This window comes from Homo sapiens, chromosome 18 (assembly GCF_000001405.40).
Source record: "Homo sapiens chromosome 18, GRCh38.p14 Primary Assembly".
NCBI lineage: Eukaryota > Metazoa > Chordata > Mammalia > Primates > Hominidae > Homo > Homo sapiens.
Genome location: NC_000018.10, coordinates 21,576,682 through 21,601,483, shown reverse-complemented (window position 1 = coordinate 21,601,483; position 24,802 = coordinate 21,576,682). Strand labels below are relative to the sequence as shown.

Here is a 24,802-nt window from a genome sequence, read left to right as displayed (position 1 = left end):
GAGTGCAGTGGCCCAGTCTCAGCTCACCACAACCTCCGCCTCCCAGGCTCAAGGGATTCTCCCGCCTCAGCCTCTCGAGTAGCTGGGATTACAGTCGCACGCCACTACCACCCGGCTAATTTTTGTATTTCTAGTAGAGACGGGGTTTCACCATGTTGGCCATGTTGGCCAGGCTGGTCTCGAACTCCTAACCTCAAATGATCCACCCGCCTCTGCTTCCCAAAGTGCTGGGATTACAGGCGTGAACCACCGCGCCCGGCCCCACCCTCCTTCTTTACATTGGCTCATATGGAAGACCAAAGGCACTTGGATTATACATCGCAGACAGAAGCAGCCAAAACCTACATGGCAACCAGTTGCGACAAATTTCCAAGGTAAACCACAACCGCTGGGGGCCTGGGTGGTTTTCAGCTCAAAGCGATGACCCCAGGAACGACAAGCGGCCGCCGCTAGGGGGCGCCGCCACTTCCCTGCCAGGCGACCACCCGCGGAGGCGCGCGCGCTAGGCCTCCCACCGCGCCTGCGCTGAGGATGGACACTAGCTCGCCTTTCCTCGACGCCCAGCCGTCCGGGCCGGGGTGAAAAACTGCGTGACACGCAGTGAGCGTGGCGGCCATCTTCGTCTTCTGGGCACGTCAGCTGAGCCGGTTAGGGCTGAAGAGGAGCGTTGCGCAAGCGCACCCAAGACGGTCACAGGTAACTCCCATCTGACGAGCGAGGCGTCGCCGTCGTCGCCGGAAGTTTGGTGTTTGCGCCGCGGGGGAGGCGGCGGCCGCAGCAGAAGCAGCTGAGTGTCTCCTGATACCCGGATGTGAGGCGATCCGCTGGCGCTAGTCTGACCCTCCGCCAGGCAAAAGGAAGGTACGCGAGCGTCCCTGACGGTCCCCGCCGCCTGTGTCTTCACCTCTCTTTTGCCAGCCCCTTCAGGGAGCGGACAGTTCTCCCTCTTCCTGTTCCACCCTCGGTGGCGTGTTGCCTCGCACGCCCCTTCCTACTGCTCCGGTCCCAGCTCTTCGCGCCCCTGGGAGGGAGGTGGGAGGCTCTAGGCTCCAAGACGCCGTCGCTTGAGGTAGGCAGCTAACGTGCTCGCGTGTCCGCGCACCACCTGCCGCTGTTTGCTGGGCGGTCGAAGTTCATAAGGGGTCGTGACCGCCGACGGGGCAGGGCCGGAGTTCCCAGCACTGCCGCGAGGGCTCCGGGAGCCCCGAGGTGGCGCGCAGCCATTGCTAGCACCGGGGCAGCGCCAGTGCTGGTCCCGCAGGTAGCTCCGGGCCCCGTCTCCGCCCCCTGCGTTTTCTCTTCCCGGCGCTTCACCGGAGCCAGTCCCTCGCCGCCTCCTGGCGCAACCCGCTGACCCGGCCTGAGCCTGGAGGCCTCTGCAGTTTGCGGGGCGCGATGTGGGGTCTTGGTTTTACAGCCTTCAGTTTGGGAGGGGAGCGGGCCCAAGGTCATAGAGTAACTCATGCTGCAAATGGGGGTCTCGGCACAGGTAGGGCGGCTCTGGAGTAGAAATGAGTGCATTGAGGGCCGCAGTGAAGTTTATAGCGATGGAGAGAGGCGAACCAAAGAGAATTGGGTCCTCGATTTTTATCACGGGTTAAGATTATTTTACTATGGGGGTTTATTTTGCACAGGCAGAATGGGATAGCAAGTCCAACAATTCGAAGACTACCTCCTCTCCCTCCGCCTCTCAATGATGCGTCCGAAAATCCGGCGTGTGCTTTATTTTCCGGGGCGATGGGGACGCAGCGGGGACCAGGGGAGGGAGGAAGAGGAGGAGGAAGGAGCTCAAGCTTTGCGATTTGAGAAGTACTATGAACCATGTTTTCTGTAGTCTTAGCTGCAATGAGATTCCTTTAAACAGGAATCGCAGCACACAGTATCTAGATAGTATTACAAAACGATATCTCAATAAATAAGCTTCGCAGGAAACAAAAGCGCTACTTGGTGGCATAAGGTGTGGTTAGTCCCCCCACCAGCATTGGCTTTTTTAAAAAAGTGGATAAAACATAGATTTCAGTTGAAAACATCCAGGTTGCAGTGAACTATGCTATATTCACTTTGTCTTCTGGTCAAGTACTTAGTTTCTGCTTTACACAGGACACCAACACGAATAAAGTTTTAAGTTATTATTTTATTTTGAGACGGGGTCTCGCTCTGTCGCCCAGACTGGATTGCAGTGGTGTAATCACTGTTCACTGCAGCCTTGACCTCCCTCCCCGGCCCCAAGCAATCCTCCCACCTCCGCCTCCCTGAGTGGCTGAGACTACAGGCGTCCGCTACCATGTTAGGCTAAGTTTTCTATTTGTTGTTGAGACGGCGTTTCGCCATGTTGCCCAGGCTGGTCTCGAACTCCTGGGATCAAGTGATCACCTGGGCCTCCAAAAGTGCTGGGATTACAGGCCTGAGCCACTGTGCCTGGTGAATTTTTTTTTTTTTTTGAAAAGCAAAAAATCTAATCAATGGAATTAGACATGGGAGTAGGATGAGAAGTGCTTTAAAACGTGCTTAATTTGGAAGTCGCAAATTCAGGCCTAGAGCATGTGAGGAAATGAGGAAACTAGGACTGTAATAGAGCCACTTTTTCCCTTTTAGGCAGAATGCAGAGTATCACTGTTGGGTCAGATATGTGACTTTGGAAGCACAATTCCAAAATTTGTCCTGGCTTACGAGCTAGAACTCCTTTATCATTGCTAACTGAGGAAAATATGCTATTGTCTCACCTTTCTCAATCAATATTATAATCCTGTAGTGAACAAGTAATTGTTTGTTTTTTTTTTTTGAGATGGAGTCTCACTCTGTCGTCCGGGCTGGAGGGCAGTGGCGAGATCTCGGCTCACTGCAATCTCCGCCTCCTGGGTTCAAGTGATTCTCCTGCCTCGGCCTCCCGAGTAGCTGGGATTACAGACAAGTGCCACCATGCCCGGCTAATTTTTTTGTATTTTTAGTAGAGATAGGGTTTCACCGTGTTGGCCAGGCTGGTCTTGAACTCCTGACCTCAGGTGATCCGCCTGCCTCGGCCTCCCAAAGTGCTGGGATTACAGGCGTGAGCCACCATGCCCGGCCAAGTAATTTTTTTAATGTCCGTCCCATACAAGGTGCTGGCATTTAAATTGATAAATTATGCTTCACAGAATAACTAAAAAAGTACCCTAATTAATGAATGCCATTAACTTCTTTTGCCAGATAGTCCTTTTTAGCTTGGTAATTTATTATGCAGAGCTGATTGTATTTATTCTGTTAATGAACGTGACCAGCGCTGCACAGTTCGAATAATGGATTTTTTTGTAATAGTTAAATATTTTTTCATGACTTTTATTGGCAGATTTTTGTACCACATAGAGTTCTTGGAATACCTTCTATTGAAGGTGATTAAAATTTAGGTACTAGAAACCAACTCCAGTAAAATTGTTACTGTAGATAATTAAGGACTATATTACCCCTTTTGTAACCCTGACTTTCATATTTTTCTGTGGATCATTCAATGAAAATCCTTTGGTTCTGTTTTTCCTGTATAAGTTCTGTATTATAGCTGTATTATAATACTGTAGTTACTTTTGGCAAATAAGAGCATTCTGTTAACCCAGCCATCATGTCTTGTCTTTTCCTGAGGGGAAGGGGCATATACATCTTATGCTTGATTGCATTACAATGCTTAAAGGAAGATTTATATCCTCTGCTCTGTTCAGCTTCCTTTAGACATTTATGGCAGCACGTGTAAGATTCACACAAAAACTCAGAGGGTAAATTAAAAGGTGGTATTAAGTATTACTTTAATGTAGTGGTTCTCAAACTTTTTGGTCTTAGGATCCCCTTACACTCTTAAAAATTATGTAGGACTCCAAGTAGCTTTTGTTTATATAGGTTTATATCTATTGATAGTTACTGTATTAGGAATTAATTTCATATATATTAATTCATTTGAAATAATTAAACTACAGCTTAATATAAATAACATTTTAATTTTAATTAAATTTTTTTTTTTTTTTAGTAACAGTGGCTCACTGTGTTGCCCAGGCTGGCCTTGAGCTCTTGGGCTGAAGTGATCCTCTTGCCTCAGCCTCCCAAATAGGTGGGACTACAGGTGTGCATACCCAGCTTAATATATTTAATAAATAACATTTTAATGAAAAACTATATTCCAAAATAAGTTAGTGAAGGAATGGTGATGGTATTACATTTTTGTAAATCTCCTTAATGTTTGGCCTTGATAGAAGACAGCTGGATTTTCCTATCAATCTGTTGCTATATATGTTTCTGGTTGAAGTTTATGACCAGTATGTTGGGTGGGGTATTTTAGCTTTTTCAGATAGTTGTAATACTCTGATTCTGCAACAAAACTTAACAAGTGGTAATTTCTTAAAGGTTAGTTGTGATGTAGAATCTGAAACCATGTCTACATGTGTTTTGCATTCTGTTGCATTAGAATTCATTGGTCTGTTTTGTACTTTTAATCTTTTGCTCTCGTATGATTTTGATCTCAGGAATCCTGAGAGTCCCCATATCACATTTTGAGCACTACTGCTTTAAGGTAAATAATTGAATGTTTAGAATTAATGTAGTTGTTGAAACTGAAGGGGATAATGATAATATGGAAATTGAGTTGGCAAGTAGTTAAGCGAAGCCAGGAGTAACTAAGTAAATTTTTTTTTATTTTTTTGAGACGGAGTCTTGCTCTGTTGCCCAGGCTGTGCTATCTCGGCTCACTGCAACCTCTGCCTCCAGGCTTCAAGCGATTCTCCTGCCTCAGCCTCCCGAGTAGCTGGGATTACAGGCACCTGCCATCATGCCTAGCTAGTTTTTTTTATATTTTTGTGGAGACGGGGTTTTACCATGTTGGCCAGGCTAGTCTTGAACTCCTGACCTCAGGTGATCCCCCTACCTCGGCCTCCCAAAGTGCTGGGATTACAGGCGTGAGACACCATGCCTGGCCAATATTTTCTATCTTTTCATAAAAACATTTTCCCTGTAATATTATTATAGCTAATTATTAATATTATTATAGCTAACACTTAAGCACTGGTGATATATCAGGAGCTTTTCTAAGAACTTTAAACATTTATGGCAGCATACGTAAGATTCTCACAGATAAAAACTCAGAGGGTAAATTAAAAGGAGGCATTAAGTATTACTTTAATGCAGTGTTTCTCAAACTTTTTGGTCTTAGGATCCCCTTATACTCTTAAAAATTATGTAGGACTCCAAGTAGCTTTATATTAGGAAAGGTTTCTTTCTGTTTTTTTTTGTTTTGTTTTTTTGAAGAGACGGGATTTCACTATGTTGCCCAGGCTGGTCTCAAATTCCTGGGCCCAAGTTATCTGCCCACCTTGGCCTCCCAAAGTGCTGGTATTATGGGTCTGAGCCACCACCCCTGGCCCAGGAAAGGTTTCTATTATGGCATCGTTGGAGAGGATTAAATTTAACTTACTTTTATCCCCCATAAATAGTATAGTCTTTGTGACAAGTATTATTCTTTTTATTTATTTATTTTTATTTTATTTATTTATTTATTTATTTTTTGAGATGGAGTCTCGCTCTGTCGCCCAGGGTGGAGTGCAGTGGCGTGATCTCCGCTCACTGCAAGCTCCGCCTCCTGGGTTCATGCCATTGTCCTGCCTCAGCCTCCCGAGTAGCTGGGAGTACAGGCGCCCGCCACCATGCCCGGCTAATTTTTTGTATTTTTTAGTAGAGACGAGGTTTCACTGTGTTAGCCAGGATGGTCTCGATCTCCTGACCTCGTGATCCCCCCTCCTTGGCCTCCCAAAGTGCTGGGATTACAGGCGTGAGCCACCGCACCCCGCCTATTTTTTTTTTTGGAGTCGGAGTCTCGCTCTGTTGCCCCTGCTAGAGTGCAGCGGCGCAATCTTGGCTCACTGCAAGCTCTGCCTCCCGGGTTCAGCCATTCTCATGCCTCAGCCTCCCGAGTAGCTGGAACTACAGGCACCTGCCACCATGCCTGGCTAATTTTTTGTATTTTTAGTAGAGACGGGGTTTCACTGTGTTAGCCAGGATGGTCTCGACCTCCTGACCTCGTGATCCACCCGCCTCGGCCTCCCAAAGTGCTGGGATTACAGGCGTGAACCACAGCGCCGGCCCCTTTTTTTTTTTTTTTTTTTTTTGAGACGGAGTTTTGCTCTTACAGCCCAGGCTGGAGTGCAGTGGCGTGATCTCGGCTCACCATGCCCGGCCAAGTATTATTCTTTGTAACACAGATACTGTTCAGTTTTAGAAGATATACGCCACTTAGATAATTTCTCCATAAGCTATTTGAGGGTGGGAATATGCCTATACCCAGCATCTATCATAATATATGTTTAAAATATATACCATAGGCTAGGCATGGTGGTTCACATTCAAGCCTGTGATCCTAGCACCTTGGGAGGCCGAGGCAGGTGGATCGCTTGAACCCAGGAGTTCGAGACCAGCCTGGGCAACATGGCGAAACCCCGTCTCTACAAAAAAAACACTAGCCAGACATGGTGGTGCTCTCCTGTAGTTTTTCATATATAAAAAAGATACACACACACACACACACACACACACACACACACACACACAGTAGTTGTAGACTATTTTAGCCCATCAGAAAATCGAGTTGTTAAATTAAACAAATACTTGTTGCTTTTAAGAAGTTAAAGTTGCTCCCATGGAAATTTGAAATTTACTGTTGTGTTTTGTTCAACTAGTGTTTGAAAGTTTGTTGTTATCACAAGACACTGGATTAAATTTTTCTTCAAAAATAGATAATTTTCAGAAGATAAATTTAGTCTTTTTTTTTTTGAGATGGAGTCTCGCTCAGTTGCACAGGCTGGAGTTCAGTGGTGCGATCTCAGCTCACTGCAAGCTCCGCCTCCTGGGTTCACACCATTCTCCTGCCTCAGCCTCCCGAGTAGCTGGGACTACAGGCGCCCACCACCACGCCTGGCTAATTTTTGTATTTTTAGTAGAGATGGGGTTTCGCCATGTTGGCCAGGCTGGTCTCGAACTCCTGACCTCAAGTGATCTATTAGGCATTTTAGAATGTGAGAAATACTTGGGTTACCTTAAATAATAGTAGTTCATTGGGAGGATATGTAGAAATAAGAGAAGACTGTTTACAGAGCTACATCTTGTAGAAGAAAACAGGAATCACCAAACACTAGGCTTTGCTGAAGAACAATTCACCAGCTCTTACAGAAACCTGAATATATTTCAGGACTCAGAAGGTGGCTGAGAATAGTACAGCTCTAGCAGTAGGCTTGCCTTGTTTTAATTCCTCAAGCAGCAGGTATCCTGTAATTCCTAATTTAGTTCTTTGCTGTTATAGTAGTAGGTCTCAACCCAGGGTGATTTTGCCTCTGAGGAGACATTTTGTAGTGTCTAGAGATATTTTGATTGTGAGGACTAGGGGAAGGGTTGCTACTGGCATCTAGTGGATGGAGGTCGGGGCTGCTGCTGCTCTTGCTAAACAGGCTGCTGCTCCTCCATGCACGGGACAGCCCACCCATAACAAAGACTCTATGTGGTTCAAAATGTTAATAGTGGTGAGTTGGAAAACCCTGCTTTATAGTGACTAGATATTGGCACCTCTTGGGTCACAAACCCACACTTGATCTAGTTAGCTATGGGAAGCGTAGCAGGGTCAGGACTTTCAGGATATAACTGAATTGTCTAAGGTTTTTTTTTTTTTTTTAAAGGAGGTGCCTGTGGCCATGGCAGGTTTTTCAGAAAGGAGTTATGAATTTGACAAGCCACTAGACTCAGATTTGTAGTCAGTACTTCTCTCTTGTTCCTTTGATGTGGTTAAAAGGTTGTATAGTTGAAATGCATTAAGAATTGGTAAATAATTAAGGAGATTAAGAATCTGTGGTGGCCCTCTCCCTCTCCCTCTCCCTCTCCCTCTCCCTACGGTCTCCCTCTCTTTCCACGGTCTCCCTCTGATGCCGAGCCGAAGCTGGACTGTACTGCTGCCATCTCGGCTCACTGCAACCTCCCTGCCTGATTCTCCTGCCTCAGCCTGCCGAGTGCCTGCGATTGCAGGCGCGCGCCGCCACGCCTGACTGGTTTTCGTATTTTTTTGGTGGAGACGGGGTTTCGCTGTGTTGGCTGGGCTGGTCTCCAGCTCCTAACCGCGAGTGATCCACCAGCCTCGCCTCCAGAGGTGCCGGGATTGCAGACGGTGTCTGGTTCACTCAGTGCTCAATGGTGCCCAGGCTGGAGTGCAGTGGCGTGATCTCGGCTCGCTACAACCTCCACCTCCCAGCCGCCTGCCTTGGCCTCCCAAAGTGCCCAGAGTGCAGCCTCTGCCCGGCTGCCACCCCGTCTAGGAAGTGAGGAGCGTCTCTGCCTGGCCACCCATCGTCTGGGATGTGAGGAGCCCCTCTGCCTGGCTGCCCAGTCTGGAAAGTGAGGAGCGTCTCTGCCCGGCCGCCATCCCATCTAGGAAGTGAGGAGCGCCTCTTCCCGGCCGCCATCCCATCTAGGAAGTGAGGAGCGTCTCTGCCCGGCCGCCCATCGTCTGAGATGTGGGGAGCGCCTCTGCCCTGCCGCCCCGTCTGGGATGTGAGGAGCGCCTCTTCCCAGCCGCGACCCCGTCTGGGAGGTGAGGAGCGTCTCTGCCCAGCCGCCCCATCTGAGAAGGGAGGAGACCCTCTGCCCGGCAACCGCCCCGTCTGAGAAGTGAGGAGCCCCTCCGCCCGGCAGCCGCCCCGTCTGAGAAGTGAGGAGCCCCTCCGCCCGGCAGCCGCCCCGTCTGAGAAGTGAGGAGCCCCTCCGCCCGGCAGCCACCCCGTCTGGGAAGTGAGGAGCGTCTCCGCCCGGCAGCTGCCCCGTCCGGGAGGGAGGTGGGGGTCAGCCCGCGCCAGGCCAGCCGCCCCGTCCGGGAGGGAGGTGGGGGGGTCAGCCTCCCGCCCCACCAGCCGCCCCGTCCGGGAGGGAGGTGGGGGGTCAGCCCCCCGCCCGGCCAGCCGCCCTGTCCAGGAGGTGAGGGGCGCCTCTGCCCGGCCGCCCCTACTGGGAAGTGAGGAGCCTCTCTGCCCGGCCAGCCGCCCCATCCGGGAGGGAGGTGGGGGGGTCAGCCCCCCGCCCGGCCAGCCGCCCCATCTGGGAGGGAGGTGGGGGGGGTCAGTCCCCCGCCCGGCCAGCCGCCTCGTCCGGGAGGTGAGGGGCGCCTCTGCCCGGCCGCCCCTACTGGGAAGTGAGGAGCCCCTCTGCCCGGCCAGCTGCCCCGTCCAGGAGGTGAGGGGCGCCTCTGCCCGGCCGCCCCTACTGGGAAGTGAGGAGCCCCTCTGCCCGGCCACCACCCCGTCTGGGAGGTGTGCCCAACAGCTTATTGAGAACGGGCCATGATGACAATGGTGGTTTTGTGGAATAGAAAGCCGGGAAAGGTGGGGAAAAGATTGAGAAATCGGATGGTTGCCATGTCTGTGTGGAAAGAAGTAGACATGGGAGACTTTTCATTTTGTTCTTTACTAAGAAAAATTCTTCTGCCTTGGGATCCTGTTGATCTGTGACCTTACCCCCCAACCCTGTGCTCTCTGAAACATGTGCTGTGTCCACTCAGGGTTAAATGGATTAAGGGCAGTGCAAGATGTGCTTTGTTAAACAGATGCTTGAAGGCAGCATGCTCGTTAAGAGTCATCACCACTCCCTAATCTCAAGTACCCAGGGACACAAACACTGCGGAAGGCCGCAGGGCCCTCTGCCTAGGAAAACCAGAGACCTTTGTTCACTTGTTTATCTGCTGACCTTCCCTCCACTATTGTCCTATGACCCTGCCAAATCCCCCTCTGTGAGAAACACCCAAGAATGATCAATAAAAATAAAAATTAAAAAAAAAAAAAAAGCATCTGTGGTGATCCATGTGAACTTTGGAGTTGATGATAACAGTGTGATTGGAGAAGAAAATTATGATTGAAGAATTTCTGGTGATCAGTAGGAATACAACAATGAAGAAAGAAAGTTTGATAGCAGAATGGCATAAACCTTAAAAGAGATGTGTAAAGAATTTTGTGTAAGATAAAAAATGGTTGTGCTGGGAAAACTGTAGGCTTCTTGATGTGATATATATAGCCTGCTTAGGAGAGACCAGTTTCCTATGTCTGCTTTAATAAATTATCAGAAACCTGATGGCTTAAAACAATAGAAATTTATTATCTTAAATTTGTTCCTTGCCTCATCTAGCTTCTGTTGGTTGCCCTGGCATTCCTGGGCCTATGACCACATTACTCCAATCTCTGCCATCATTTTCATATTATTTTCTCTTGTCTGTGTCTGTCTCCTTCTCTTACAAGGATATCTGTGCCACTCTCTTACAAGGATATTTGTTATTGGATTTAGGGCCTACCTGGATAATCCAGGATGATCACATCTCAAGATCCTTAATTTGATTATGTCTGCAAAGACCTTTTTTCCCCAAATAAGATACATTCACAATCCCTAATTCAGGGATTAGGACACAGGTGTATTTTTTGGGGGGCCCACCATTTAGCCACTACTGGAGAGTTTTAGAGAAAAGGGTATAATTTCAAGAGAGTGGATTTTTTTCTTTTTTTTTTTTCTTTTGAGACAGTCTCGCTCTGTCGTGAGGCTGGAGTGCAGTAATGAGATCTTGGCTCACTGCAACCTCTGCCTCCTGGGTTCAAGCAGTTCTGCCTCAGCCTCCTGAGTAGCTGGGACTATAGGCACGTGCCACCACGCCCAGCTAACTTTTTTGTATTTTTAGTAGAGATGGTTTCTTCACATTGGCCAGGATGGTCTCGATCTGTTGACCTCGTGATCTGCCCACCTCGGCCTCCCAAAGTGCTGGGATTACAGGTATGAGCCTCTTGCCTGGCCGAGAGTGAATTTTCAATTAAGGGTAATTAAATTAAATTTAAATTAAATACAAATTCAATTAAAATTGAAATACAAATTCAATTAAAGTAAAATTTGTATTGTGAAGAGATTGAATATAGGAAGCTGCTTTTCATAGAAAAAGGGTTCATGACTGGGTGCGGTGGCTCATGCCTGTATTCCCAGCACTTTGGGAGGCTGAGGCGGGCGGATCACGAGGTCAGGAGTTCATGATCAGCCTGGCCAATATGGTGAAACCCCATCTCTACTAAAAATACAATAATTAGCTGGGTGTGGTGGCGCGTGCCTGTAGTCCCAGCTACTGAGGAGGCTGAGGCAAGAGAATTGCTTGAACCGGGGAGGCGGAGGTTGCAGTGAGCTGAGATCATGCCACTGCACTCCAGCCTGGGCGACAGAGTGAGAGGCAGTCTCAAAAAAAAAAAAAGAAAAAGGGTTCATGTGGGTGAGTTTAAGAAAGGAAGTGATCAGCAGTATAAGGAGAGTTGGAAGGTAGTAAGGGAAAATAACTGACATGATGGACTTGCGGCCGGACGCAGTGGCTCATGCCTGTAATCCCAGCACTTTGGGAGGCCGACACGGGTGGATCACGAGGTCAGGAGATCGAGACGATCCTGGCTAACATGGTGAAACCCCGTCTCTACTAAAAATACAAAAAATTAGCCCGGTGTGGTGGCGGGTGCCTGTAGTCCCAGCTACTCGGGAGGCTAAGGCAGGAGAATGGCATGAACCCGGGAGGCGGAGCTTGCAGTGAGCCGAGATGGCACCACTGCACTCCAGCCTGGGTGACAGAGCGAGAAAAAAAAAGAGAGGAAAAAAAAGACGGACTTGCATTTGACTGGTGGGAATGGATCTGTGCAAATTGAAGGCCTTAAGTGTGAGAGGTCTGATGTTCTCGGTAGACTTTGCCGTCTTTGCTTTGTGCCATCTTCGAGCTAAGTATTGCTGAGAACTTACTCTCTACTCTGTTGTCCCAGAAGAGAAATCTTTCCCAGCTGTTTAGATGGCTTTCTGAATTTGCACCAGTGTTTTATGGAACTGAAGAGGCTTTCATAGCAGCTTGGGGAAAAAGTCCTTCAGTAAATTATGTTGGGATTGAGAGGTATACGGGGTTTGATTCTGCAGTAAATCTGATGGAATTACTGTACCTTGAGATAGCTAGAAGTTTCCAGTGGTGTGTTGAAATACAAGACGATTGGATAGGAGACTATTTAAGGGCAATAAATAAATAAATAACAAAGAAAAAAGTAAAAAAAACCATCAAGATGAGGTTGGGCAAAATAGTCCTAGGGTTGTGTAGGAAAAAGGCTGATTAATTTTAAGAAGTGACTTGGAGGGGGAAAGTGGCTACATTGAAGTAATAGGGTAATTGTTTTTATTTGACTTGTTGATGTTATCTATTTTTTTTTTTTTTTGAGACGGAGTCTTGCTCTGTTGCCCAGGCTGGAGTGCAGTGGTGCAATCTTGGCTCACTGTATCCTCTACCTCCCAGGTTCAAATGATTCTCCTGCCCCAGCCTCCTGAGTAGCTGGGATTACAGATGCGCACCATGCCTGGGTAATTTTTGTATTTTTAGTAGAGATGTGGTTTCACCATGTTGGCCAGGCTGGTCTCAAACTCCTGACCTCAGGTGACCTGCCCACCTCGGCCTCCCAAAGCGCTGGGCTTACAGGCGTGAGCCACCGCGCCCAGCCGATGTTATCTATTATTAACATTTCTAAAATTAAATCATCTCTGTATCCTATTTATTTATTTATTTATTTGACACAGAGTCTCACTCTGTTGCCCAGCTTGGAGTGGAGTGGTGCGATCAAGGCTCACTGCAGTCTCCCGCCTCAGCCTCCCAAGTAGATGGGACTATAGGTGAACGCCACCATGCCCGGCTATTTTTGTATTTTTTGTAGAGATAGGGTTTTGCCATGTTGTCCAGGCTAGTCTCAAACTCCTGTGCTCAAGAGATTTGCACGCCTCAGCCTCCCATAGTGTTAGTATTACAGGCGTGAGCCACCATACCTGGCCCATTTTTCTCTTTGGTTGGCTGTTTTATTAATTTGTAGGATATCTTATACATATTGTATAATCTGTGCATACCAATCCTTTGTAAGTTACTATTTTCACCTTTCACATTTTAGGTCTGTAGTCAGTCCATTTGGCATTGACTTTAGTATTGTATGAGGTAGGGATACAATTTCTTTTTCTTTTTTTTTTTTAGAGTAAAGTAAAAGCAAGTTTATTAACAAAGTAAAGGAATAAAAAATGGCTACTCCTTAGGCAGAGCAGCCTAAGGATCCAATTTCATTTTTCCCCCATGTGATATCCAGTTATCCCAGTACTATTTCTTTAAGGTGACAGTGCTGTCTCTTAAAAACCAAATGATCATATATGTTAAATACTTGGTTTGATTCTGGTCTATTTTGTGTCATTGATCTTTTCCATTGGTCTGTTTGTTTATCCTTGAAACAATATCACACATTAACGTGGTTTTATAGTAAATCTTGATATCTGATAGGACAAATCCACCCACCTTGTGGGTTTTGCTTTTTTTTTTTTTTTTGAGATGGATCCTTGCTGGGTTGCCCGGGCTGGAGTGCAGTGGCTGTTCGTAGGCAGGATCATAGCACAGTCTAGGCTCAAACTTCTGGACTCAAGTGATCCTCTCACATGAGCCTCCTGAGTAGCTGGGACTATCGGCATGTGTCACCAGACCCAGGGGCACCTTGTGTTTTATTTTGTTGTTGTTTGTTTGTTTTTTGTTTTGACGTTTTGCTGTGTTGCCCAGGCTGGAGTAGAACTCCTGGCCTCAAGTGATCCTCCCGCCTCAGCCTCCAAAGTTGCTGAGATCATAGGTGTGTGCCACCACACCTGGCTAATTTATTTTTTGTAGAGATAGGGTCTTGCTGTGTTGCCCAAACTGGTCTTGAACACCTGGGCTCAGGCAATTCTCCCACCTTGGCCTCCCAAAGTGCTGGGTTAATAGGCATGAGCTACTACACCTGGCTACTTTTATCTTTTTTAAAAAAGTTTTTAATGAGAGAGGACTCAAATTACCAAAATAAGGAATGAGAGAAATTACTAAAATAAGGAATGAGAGATATTACTAAAATAAAAAGGGTTAAAAGGGAATATGAACAATGGTATGCTAACCATTTCGATAACCTAGATAAAATAGACAAGTTCTTATAAACTGACTCAAGAAGAAATAGAAAATCTGAATAGACCTATAACAAAGAGATTGAATAAAAATACCTCCAAAAATGAAAAGCCCAGGCTCAGATGGCTTCACTGATGCAATCTACCAAACATTTAAAGAAGAATTAACACCAATCCTTCATAGACTTTTCAAAAAATAGAAAAGGAGGGATCTCTTAGTTCATTTTATGAGGCTGGTATTGCCTTAGTACTAAAAAGACATCACAGTGCTAAAAAGACCTTAGTACTAGGCAAAGACATCACAAGAAAACTACAGATTAATATTTCTTATGAATATGTCCACACAAATCCTCAACTAAATATTTGCAGACTGAGTCCAGCAACTTATAAAAATGATAACACACAATGACCAAGTTGCATTTATCCCTGCAGTGCACAGTTGGTTCAGCATATAAAAATCAGTATGACACACCATGTTGATAGAATAAAGGAAAGAAACGGACATGATTACCTCAATAGATGCAGAAAAAAAATCTGACAAAATGAAATATCCTTTCATGATAAAACTGCTCAACAAACTAGAAATAGAAGGGCATCTGTGAAAAATCCACATCTAACATCATACCTAACAGTATGCAAGACTGAGAGCTTTCCCCCTAAACTTAGGAATAAGATGAAGATACCTGCTCTTACCACTTCTTTCAACAGTGGAAAGGAGGAGGTTTCCACTGGAGGTTCTAGCCAAGGTAGACTGGCAAAAGGGAAAGAAATAAAAGGCGTCCAGATTGGAAAGGAAGCAGTAAAACTCTCTCTCTTTGCAGATGACATGATCTTACCTGTAGGAAATCCTAAGAAATTCACACAAAAAAACCTATTAGAACTCATTAAATTTAACAACGTTACAGGACACAAGATCAATGTACAAAAATTAGTTTTGTGTACACTGTGATGAATCATCCAAAAAGGAAATTAAGAAAATAATTGCTTTAATAAATCAGTATATGGAAGAGATACCTGCATTCCCATGTTCATTGTGGCACTGTTCACAATAGGCAAGACATGGAATCAATCTAAGTAAGTGTTCATCAGCAGATGAATGGATAAAATGTGGTATGGAATGGAATATTATTCAGCCATAAAAATATGAAATCTTGTCTGCAGCAACATGGATAAAACTGGAAGACATTATGTTCAGTGAAATAGCTAGGCATGGAAAGATTTACTGCATATTCTCGTTCTTATGTGGGAGCCACAAAAAAGTTGATCCCATGGAGGTAGAGAGTAGCATAGTGGTTACCAGAGGCTAAGAAGGGTGTGGGGAGGAGAGGATAGAGAGAAAGTGATTAATGGTTATAAAAATACAGTTAGAAGGAATAAGTTCTAGTGTTTGGTAGCTCACTAGGGTGACTGTATTTAATAATTTGTTGCGTATTTCAAAATAACTAGAAGAGATATGAAATGTTCCTGATACAAGTAATAAGTGTTTGAGGTGATGAATTATCCCAGTTATCATGATTTGATTATTACGTGGTTGTATGTCTGTATCAAAATGTCACATGTACCCCAGAAATATGTGTAATCATTATGTATCAATAAAAAAATTCTTTTAGGCTGGGCTCAGTGGCTCAAACACCTGTAATCCTAGCATTTTGGGAGGCCGAGGTGGGAGAATGGCTTGAGCCCGGGGGTTTGAGACCAGCTTGGGCAACACAGGGAGACCCCATCTCTACAAAAAATAAAAAAATTAGCCAGGTAAGGTGGCATGTACCTGTGGTCTCAGCTACTCAGGAGGCTGAGATGGGATGATCACTTGGGGCCAGGAGTTTGAGACTTGCCTGGGCAACATAGAGAGACATAGTCTCTAAAAAAAAGAAAAAGAGTAGCAAAGTTTTGGGCTCACACTTCATCTTTTAAAAACTGACTAGAAAGCTACAGTAATCAAGATTGTGTAGTCCTGGTATAAGATCATAAAGACCAATGGGATAGAATTGAGAGTCCAGAAATAAAACCATACATTTACGGCAATGGATCTTATAAAAGGGGCCAGGACAATTCAATGGGTAAAGAATACTATTTTTTAACAAATGATACTGGTACAACTTGATAACTATAGGCTGGCATCTGGTTGGCCAAAGTAAGTCAGGTGGCCAAGACGATCAGGTCAGGGAAGTATAGATACTCTGTCCCCACCGAGGCCAAAATAAGGCATGTGACCAAGCCTGGTATCTTTTCAGAAGGAAAGTATAATTCTCTCATGGAGGTGGGATAAGAAGTAGTGATTATATTTTAAGAAAAACTGTATTATATGGTATAAGATTGAGATGGTGACCATGCAGTTGTGTAAGTTTTTTTTTTTTTTTTTTGAGATGGAGTCCTGCTCTGTAGCCTAGGTTGGAATGCAGTGGCTCGATCTCGGCTCACTGCACCCTCTGCCTCCCGGGTTCAAGCAGTTCTCTGCCTCAGCCTCACGAGTAGCTGGGATTACAGGCACCCGCCACCACACCTGGCTAATTTTTGTATTTTTTTAGTAGAGACGGGGCTTCACCATCTTGGCCATGCTGGTCTTGAACTGACCTCGTTATCCACCCGCCTCGGCCTCCCAAAGTTCTGGGATTACAGCAGTTGTGTAATGTTTTGCATATAATTGTGAAAAATCATCACAGGCTTTTTGTTGTTGTTGTTGAGATGGGGGTGTCACTGTGTCACCCAGGCTGGAATGCAGTGGCATGATCACAGCCCACTGCCAGCCTCTATCTCCTTGGGCTCAGGTGATACGCCCACCTCAGCCTCCGAAGTAGCTGGGACTTACAGACGTGCCAGCACCCCAGGCTAATTTTTGTATTTTCGAAGAGACAGAGTTTCATCATGTTGCCCAGTCTGGTCTCAAACTCCTGGGCTCAAGCGATCCTTGATCCTTGATCCTTCCACCTCTGCCTCCCAAAGTGCTACAATTACAGGGATGAGCCACTGCACCTGACTGGGCCATTTTTTAGTCTAGGTTTGTCTAAGTTGTTTTAATGTATCAGTTAATAGTGATATTTTTGTATTTTTTTTTTTCAATAGATTGTCTTTGGCTATAGAGTTTTTTTTTTTAAAGATTACTAAACATACAGGAAGTGATAAGAAGTATCATTCATCAGAAGCATCATTCATCAATCAACTTGAAGAAAAAGGTGATATATTATTTCTTTAAGGTAAGTGGCATATAATTTTATGATTTAGTATCTTCCAAGATGATTAATCAGTGTACCAAATATATTTTATATTTTCAGAGAATTTTAACTTACATTTTTATTTTTCAACAAGGTTATATGTCTACATGATAAAACATTTCAGTGGGTATATAGTGAAAAGTAAGCTTTTCTCCTACTCCTGGTACTTGGTCTAGTAGTTCTCTTGTTTAGAAATCATCACTATTATTAGTTAGTGTCTCCTTCCAGATATATTTTATGCATAAAAGGCATATGATTCTGTATATTCTCTTCCTTCCACCATCTCCTTTTTCTCTCTTTACACAAAGGGAGACATGCTACATTCTCTCTTCTGCACTTTGCTTTTTTGGTTTAATAATGTTTCTTCGTCATGGTTCCATATAACTTACATCTCTATTTGTTGGACAGCTTTATTAAAGCATAATTTATGTATAATAAACTGTACTCTCTTAAAATTACAATTTGGTAGCTTTTGACAGATTTAAATATTCATGGAATCACCACTACAGTCAAGATAAAGAACATTTCTGTCACCTCCAAAAGTTAATCTCCCTCTCTCCACTCTTCATCCCAGGCAATGACTGAGCTGCTTTTTGTCACTGTAGATTAGTTTGCTTTCTCTAGAATGTCTTTTCTTTTTTTTTTTTTGAGACAGTCTCTCACTCTGTTGCCCAGCCTGGAGTGCAGTGGCATGATCTCGGCTCACCATGACCTCTGCCTCCTGGGTTCAAGCGGTTCTCCTGCCTCAGCCTCCTGAATAGCTGGGACTACAGGCACATGCCACCACACCTGGCTAATTTTTGTATTTTTAGTAGAGATGGGGTTTCACCGTGTTGCCCAGGCTGGTGTCAGGCCCCTGACCTCACGTGATCTGCCCGCCTTGGCCCCTCAAAGTGCTGGGATTACAGGTGTGAGCCACCCTGCCTGGCCTAGAATTTTTTTTTTCTTTTTTTTATTAGTGCCTTTGTAAAAGACAGAATTTCTTGAAAAGTGGAATCATACAGTATGTACTCTTTTGTGTCTAGCTTTTTTATTCAGAATGATTGCAAGGTTCATCCATATTGTTTACTATTAGTAGTTTGTTTCTGTTGATTTTTTTGTTTTGTTTTTGAGACAGAGTCTCGCTCTGTCACCCAGGCTGGAGTACAGTGGCACGATTTCGGCTCACTGCAACCTCTGCCTCTTGGGTTCTAGCAGTTCTCCTGCCTCAGCCTCCTGAGTAGCTGGGATTACAGGTGCCTGCCCGCTAATTTTTGTATATTTGTAGAGACGGGGTTTTGCCGTGTTGGCCAGCCTGGTCTCGAACTCCTGACCTCAGGTGATTCGCACACCTTGGCCCCCCCAAAGTGCTGGGATTACAGGTGTGAGCCATCACGCCAGGCGTGAAATTAAACTGTTTGAAAATTAGCACTTAAAATTTTGATAGGTGGATTGTCCTGCATAGACATTGAATCATTTGTAGTAATGTAAGGTACCTGACACAAACATTTACCAAGAGTGTATTGTTAAACTTCTTGATCTTTGGCCAGTTTGATAGGTGAAAAATGATATTTTGTGTTGGTTTTAATTTGTATTATTATCTTGTTATCTATTATACCAGCCATTTGTAGTTGTTTCCCTGTAAATATATTTTGGTTATTAGCTTTTGCTATTTCTTGCCAGTATTTTTCCCCAGTTTTGCCCTTCAAACTTGGCTTCTCAATTTTGTGACAAGGCTTAAAAGTTAAGCCTTTCTCACGTGAAAACAAATATTTAAGGATTTCCTGGCTGGACATGGTAATGCCTGTAATGTCAGCACTTTCAGAGGCCGAGGCGGGCATATCACCTGAGGCCAGGAGTTCAAGACCAGCCTGGCTAACATGGTGAAACCCCATTTCTATTAAAAATACAAAAAATTACCTGTGCATGGTGGTGTGCACCTGTAATCCTAGCTACTCGGGAGGCTGAGGCGGGAGACTCGCTTGAACCCAGGAGGCGGAGGATGCAGTGAGCCAAGATTGCACCATTGCACTCCAGCTTGGACAACAGGAGCGAAACTCCATCTCAAAAAAAAAAAAAAGATTTCCCATACTTTAATCTGTGTTTTAATGTTTTTATTTTAATGATTAACATTTTTCTTGAACATTTTCTTACTCATAAACTAGAATAGGTTACCTAGATGGTTACCCAGTTTTTCTAACACCAATTAATTAACTAATTAATTTATTGGAGATGGGGTCTCTGTCGCCCAGGCTGGTGTGTAGTGGCATAATCACGGCTCACTGAAGCCTTGATCTCCCAGGCTCAAGTGATCCACCCACCTCAGCTTCCTGAATAGCTGGGACTATAGGTATGCACCACACCTGGCTGATTTTTTTTTTCTTTTTTTTTTTTTAGTATAGATGAGATTTCACTGTGTTGCCCAGTCTGGTCTCAAACTCTGATTAATAAATTTTTCTTTGAGATGGAATCTTGCTATGTTGACCAGGCTGGTGTCAAACTCCTGGGCTCAAGCAATCCTCCTGCTTCATCTCTGAAGTAGCTGTTATTACAGGTGTGTGTGCCCAGCTAGCAGCAATTGTTGAGTAATCTATTTTCATTAATTTGAAATGAATGAAATCAATACCACCTTTATATGTACTAAATTCCCTGATGGATTAGGGCCTATTTTTATTTTTATTTTATTTATTTATTTGTTTTTTGAGATGGAGTCTTGCTCTGTCGTCCAGGCTGGAGTGCAATGGCGCCATCTCACCTCATTGCAACCTCTGCCTCCCGGGTTCCAACGATTCTCCTGCCTCAGCCTCACAAGTATCTGGCATTACAGGTGCCCATGACCATGCCCAGCTAATTTTGTATTTCAGGCCTATTTTAGAGTCTATTTTGTTCTGTTAATCTCTACAAATTCATATGTTGGAACTAAACTGTTAAATATTACAGCTAAGTGTATTTTAATATTAGTGTAAATCTACCCTGTTTTTTTTTTTCTTTTGAGATGGATTCTCGCTGTGTTGCCCAGGCTGGAGTGCAGTGGTGCAGTCTCGGCTCACTGCAAGCTCTGCCTCCTGAGTTCACGCCATTCTCCTGCCTCACTGCCTCAGCCTCCTGAGCAGCTGGGACTACAGGCACCCGCCACCACGCCCAGATAATTTTTTTGTATTTTTAGTAGATACCGGGTTTCACCATGTTAGCCAGGATGGTCTCTTATCTCCTGACCTCGTGATGAGCCCGCCTCGGCCTCCCAAAGTGCTGGGATTACAGGTGTGAGCCTCCGCACCCGGCCTACCCTGTTATTTTTTAAGTGACAGAATGAGACTCCGTTTCGATGGAGTTTTGCTCTTGTTGCCCAGGCTGGAGTGCAATGGCGCGATCTCAGCTTACCGCAACCTCCGCCTCCTGGGTTCAAGAGATTTTTCTGCCTCAGCTTCCCAAGTAGCTGGGATTACAGACATGCACCACCATGCCTGGCTAATTTTGTATTTTTAGTAGAGACGGGGGTTCCTCCTTGTTGGTCAGGCTGGTCTCGAACTCCTGACCTCAGGAGATCCGCCTGCCTTGGCCTCCCAAGTTGCTGGGATTACAGGTATGAGCCACCGTGCCTGGCCAATAGTAATTCTTTTTAAAAAATTCCTTTAAACTAACTTATTTATACTTATATTTATTCATATAAACTTCAGTAAGCACACACATGTGCAGTCTCATTTTTTTGTTTGGTTTCTAAACTCCCTCCTCTTTTCTTCATTTTAACATGCTTATTTTTTGGTGCACATTCTCTTGTAGACCCTAGAGGAAGATGTTTGGGAGTTAAATTTTTTGACACCCTGCACATCTGAAAAATATTCTAGACTCCACACTTAATTGGGCATTGAATTCTACTTGGGACATAATTTTTCTTCAGCATTTTGAATAATTTTCCCATTATCTTGCTTCCAGTGTTGCTATGGAAGGTTTGTTGTAATTCTGATCTTAATCATCTGTATGTAGTCAGGATTTTTCCCCCCTCTAGAAGTTTGAGAGTCATCTTTTTATCCTTATGATAGGTTTTTTAAAAATTAAAAAGTTTTTTTCCTCATTGCCAGCAGAAACATAGAAAGGCTGAAAAAAAATTTTTGGGGGCTGGGCGCGGTGATTCATGCCTGTAATCCCAGCACTTTGGGAAGCCGAGGCGGTTGGATTACCTAAAGTCAGGAGTTCGAGACCAGCCTGACCAATACACCGAAAACCCGTCTCTACTAAAAATACAAAAAACATTGGCTGGGTGTGGTGGTGCGTGCCTGTAATCCCAGCTACTCAGGAGGCTGAGGCAGGAGAATTGCTTGAACCCGGGAGACGGAGGTTGCAGTGAGCCAAGATTGCGCCACTGCACTCCAGCCTGAGCAATAGAGGGAGACTCCATCTCAAAAAAAAAAAATTAAAAATAGATAATTTTTTTCATCCATTATTCTAGATACTCTTAGGTCCCCTCCCTGCTGTGTGTGTGTGTGTGTGTGTGTGTGTGTGTGTGTGTGTGTGTGTGTGCGCGCGCGCGTGTGTGTGTGTGTCAGAATCTCGCTCTGTTGCCCAGGCTGGAGTACAGTGAGTGGCGTGATGTCGGCTCACTGCAACCTCCACCTCCTTGGTTCAAGCAATTCTCCTGCCTCAGCCTCCCGAGTAGCTGGGATTACAGGTGCCTGCCTCCATGCCCAGCTAATTTTTTTGTATTTTTAGTAGAGACAGGGTTTCACCATGTTGGCCAGGCTGGTCTTGAATTCCTGACCTCGTGATTCACCTGCCTTGGCCTCCCAAAGTGCTGGGATTACAGGCGTGAGCCACTGTGCCTGGCCCCATTTTTTTGTTTTTTTGTTTTTTAAAGAGATGGGGTCTTGCTTTGTCACTCAGTCTGGAGTGCAGTGGTATGATCGTAGTTCACTGCAGCCTCAGACTCCTGAGCTCATGTCATCCTCCTGCCTCAGCCTCCCGAGTAGCTGGGCCTGTCTACAGGCGCGTGCCACCATGCTCAGCTTATTAGAAAATTTTTTTGGCCAGGTGCAGTGGCTCATGCCTATAATCCTAGCACTTTGGGAGGCCAAAGTGGGTGGATCACTTGAGGCCAGGAGTTTGGGACCAGCTTGGCCAACATGGTGAAACTCTGTCTCTACTAAAAGTACAAAAAAGGCCAGGCGCAGTGGCTCATGCCTGTAATTGCAGCACTTTGGGAGGCCGAGGCAGGCAGTTCATGAGGTCAGGAGTTCGGGACCCGCCTGGCCAACATGGTGAAACCTGATCTCTACTAAAAATACAAAAAAATTAGCCGGTGTAGTGGTGCGTGCCTGTAATCCCAGCTACTCAGGAGGTTGAGGGAGGAGAATCACTTGAACCCAGGAGGTGGAGGTTGCAGTGAGCCGAGATGGTGCCACTGCACTCCAGCCTGGGCAACAGAGTGAGACTACATCTTGGGGGAAGAAAAAAATAGCCAGGCGTGGTGGTGCATGCCTGTAGTTCCAGCTACTTGGGAGGCTAAGGCACGAGAATCGCTTGAACTTGGGAGGTGGAGGTTGCAGTGAGCTGAAATTGTGCCACTGCATTCTAGCCTGGACAACAAAGCGAGACTTTGTCTCAAAAAAAATTTTTTTTTTCTTTTTTTTCGTGGTAGATCTTGCTCTGTTACTCAGTCTGGTCTGGAACTCTTGGCTTCAAGTGATCCTCCTGCCTCAGCTTCCCAGAGTAGCTGGGATTATAGACATGCCACTGTACCTGGCAGTCTTGGCCCTTTTAATCAGGAAACTCATGTCATTCAGGTCTAGGAAAATTTCTTGAATTCTTGATTTTTTTTCCCCCAGTGCTTTTTTTCTATTCTCTGAAAGGTCCAGTTAATGGCCAGTTGGACCTCATGGCTCGTCCTCTAATTTTCTTACTTTTTTTTCTCCCATGTGCCATCTTAGTCATTTTGATCTACTTTATAGGAGAGCTCCTTGTCTTTACCTTCTGATGGCATCTGTTGACTTTTTCACTTTTTTCTGTAGTGTTTTTAATTTTCAGGAGTTCTTTTTTGTATGCTGTTCTTGTATATCTGTTTCATGACAAATTAGCTTATTTTTAGTTTTTGTCTCTAATTTTGTCTTCAAAGCTACTTTTTTCCTGTTTTTTCTTCATATTAAGGCTTTTCTTGTATTTGTGGTGATTCTTGTTTAACTGCTTATGGTTAAAAGTGATTGGAAATTGTATGTATTTGGATGGTGGAGTGGCTGGTAGACTCCCGATTATAGGGTGTGTGTTTGTGTGTGTGTCTTAGCGATTATAGGTAGACCTTATCAGTATTTTTAGGTATTTTCTCTAGGGCTTGCCAAATTCAGTAGTACTCATCTTCAGAACGATCAGTAGAACACAATCTTTCCACTTCCTTAGTAGAAGGTATAGGCTTGGCTGCTATCCTCTAGGAACCTTTGAGTAGGCAAAGAGGGTTTTGAATGAACAGAGTGGGTTTCAGCAATCAGTGTGTATATTCCTATTTATTCCTTCTGTTGTCAGTATGATACTTCCATCCTCAACTGTGCCTGTTAAGCCTGTAGACCTCCTGTTTCACTCCTTCTAGAGATTTATACCTCTAGTCTTCTGAGTGCTAGTAATGGGAATGGCAATCTGGGAGAATATCTGCTTTTTTTTTTTTTTTTTTTGAGACGGAGTCTCGCTCTGTCGGCCAGGCTAGAGTGCAGTGGTGCAATCTTGGCTCACTGCAAGCTCCGCCTCCTGGATTCAAGCAATTCTCCTGCCTCAGCCTCCCCAGTAGCTGGTACTACAGGCACCTGCCACCACACCCAGCTAATTTTTTGTATTTTTAGTAGAGACGGGGTTTCACCATGTTAGCCAGGATGGTCTCGACCTCCTGACCTCGTGAATCTGCCCGCCTCGGCCTCCCAAAGTGCTGGGATTACAGGTGTGAGCCCAGCCTTTTTTTTTTTTTTTTTTTTTTTTAAAAAAGATGGAGTCTCACTCTTGTTGCCCAGGGTGGAGTGCAATGGCATGATCTCAGTTCACTGCAACCTCCGCCTCCCAGGTTCAAGTGATTCTCCTGCCTCAGCCTCCTGAGCAGCTGGGATTACAGGCATGCACCACCATGCCCAGCTAATTTTTTTGTATTTTTAGTAGAGATAGGGTTTCACCATGTTGGCCAGGCTAGTCTTGAGCTCCTGGCCACAAGTGATTCGCCTGCCTCGACCTCCCAAAGTGTTGGGATTACAGGCCTGAGCCATTGTGCCCGGCCCTATCTGCTTTTTTGAGTCCCATTTTCTTTTTTTTTTTTGAGACAAGAGTCTCGCTCTGTCGCCTAGGCTGGAGTGCAGTGGCACAATCTCAGCTCACTGCAACCTCCACCTCCTGAGTTCAAGCGATTCTCCTGCTTCAGCCTCCCGAGTAGCTGGGATTACAGGCGCCTGCCACCACGCCTGGTTAATTTTTGTGTTTTTAGTAGAGACGGGGTTTCATCATCTTGGCCAGGCTGGTCTTGAACTCCTGACTTCGTGATCCACCTGCTTTGGCCTCCCAAAGTGCTGGGATTACAGGTGTGAGCCACCGCACCCGGCCTTTTGAGTCCTATTTTCATCCGCATCTCTATGGAGTCTGATACTGCCAATTCCTGAGTCTCGGGTATAAAT

At 45.2% G+C, this 24,802-nt stretch overlaps 1 protein-coding gene across 5 annotated transcripts in view, besides 4 other annotated features; it reads left to right on the top strand.

The window, feature by feature from the left end:
• Positions 555-1,074: an enhancer, noted in NCBI's record as "active region_13133". NCBI's record gives its function as "activates an Ori minimal core promoter by ATAC-STARR-seq in GM12878 lymphoblastoid cells {active_cell/tissue: GM12878}" and the evidence as "EXISTENCE:reporter gene assay evidence [ECO:0000049][PMID:35858748]".
• Positions 780-24,802, top strand: part of ESCO1 (establishment of sister chromatid cohesion N-acetyltransferase 1) — a 71,421-nt gene continuing 47,398 nt past the window's right edge. For 3 of the 5 annotated variants that reach the window (XM_011525799.4, NM_052911.3, XM_047437286.1), the window contains exons 1-2: positions 780-861; positions 17,044-17,174. The gene's annotated coding sequence lies outside the window, so the exon portion shown is untranslated. Of the gene's footprint in view, positions 1,070-17,043; positions 17,175-24,802 lie in introns of all 5 variants that reach the window. The other 2 variants (XM_047437285.1, XM_011525798.2) reach the window with 1 other exon arrangement.
• Positions 2,142-2,436: an enhancer, noted in NCBI's record as "tiled region #3945; HepG2 Activating DNase unmatched - State 1:Tss". NCBI's record gives its function as "activates a minimal TATA promoter and a strong SV40 promoter by Sharpr-MPRA in HepG2 cells {active_cell/tissue: HepG2}" and the evidence as "EXISTENCE:reporter gene assay evidence [ECO:0000049][PMID:27701403]".
• Positions 7,645-8,372: an enhancer, noted in NCBI's record as "H3K27ac-H3K4me1 hESC enhancer chr18:19173073-19173800 (GRCh37/hg19 assembly coordinates)". NCBI's record gives its function as "activates a minimal SCP1, AML or CMV promoter by ChIP-STARR-seq in primed H9 embryonic stem cells {active_cell/tissue: H9 hESC(primed)}" and the evidence as "EXISTENCE:reporter gene assay evidence [ECO:0000049][PMID:30033119]".
• Positions 9,103-9,832: an enhancer, noted in NCBI's record as "NANOG-H3K27ac hESC enhancer chr18:19171613-19172342 (GRCh37/hg19 assembly coordinates)". NCBI's record gives its function as "activates a minimal SCP1, AML or CMV promoter by ChIP-STARR-seq in naive H9 embryonic stem cells {active_cell/tissue: H9 hESC(naive)}" and the evidence as "EXISTENCE:reporter gene assay evidence [ECO:0000049][PMID:30033119]".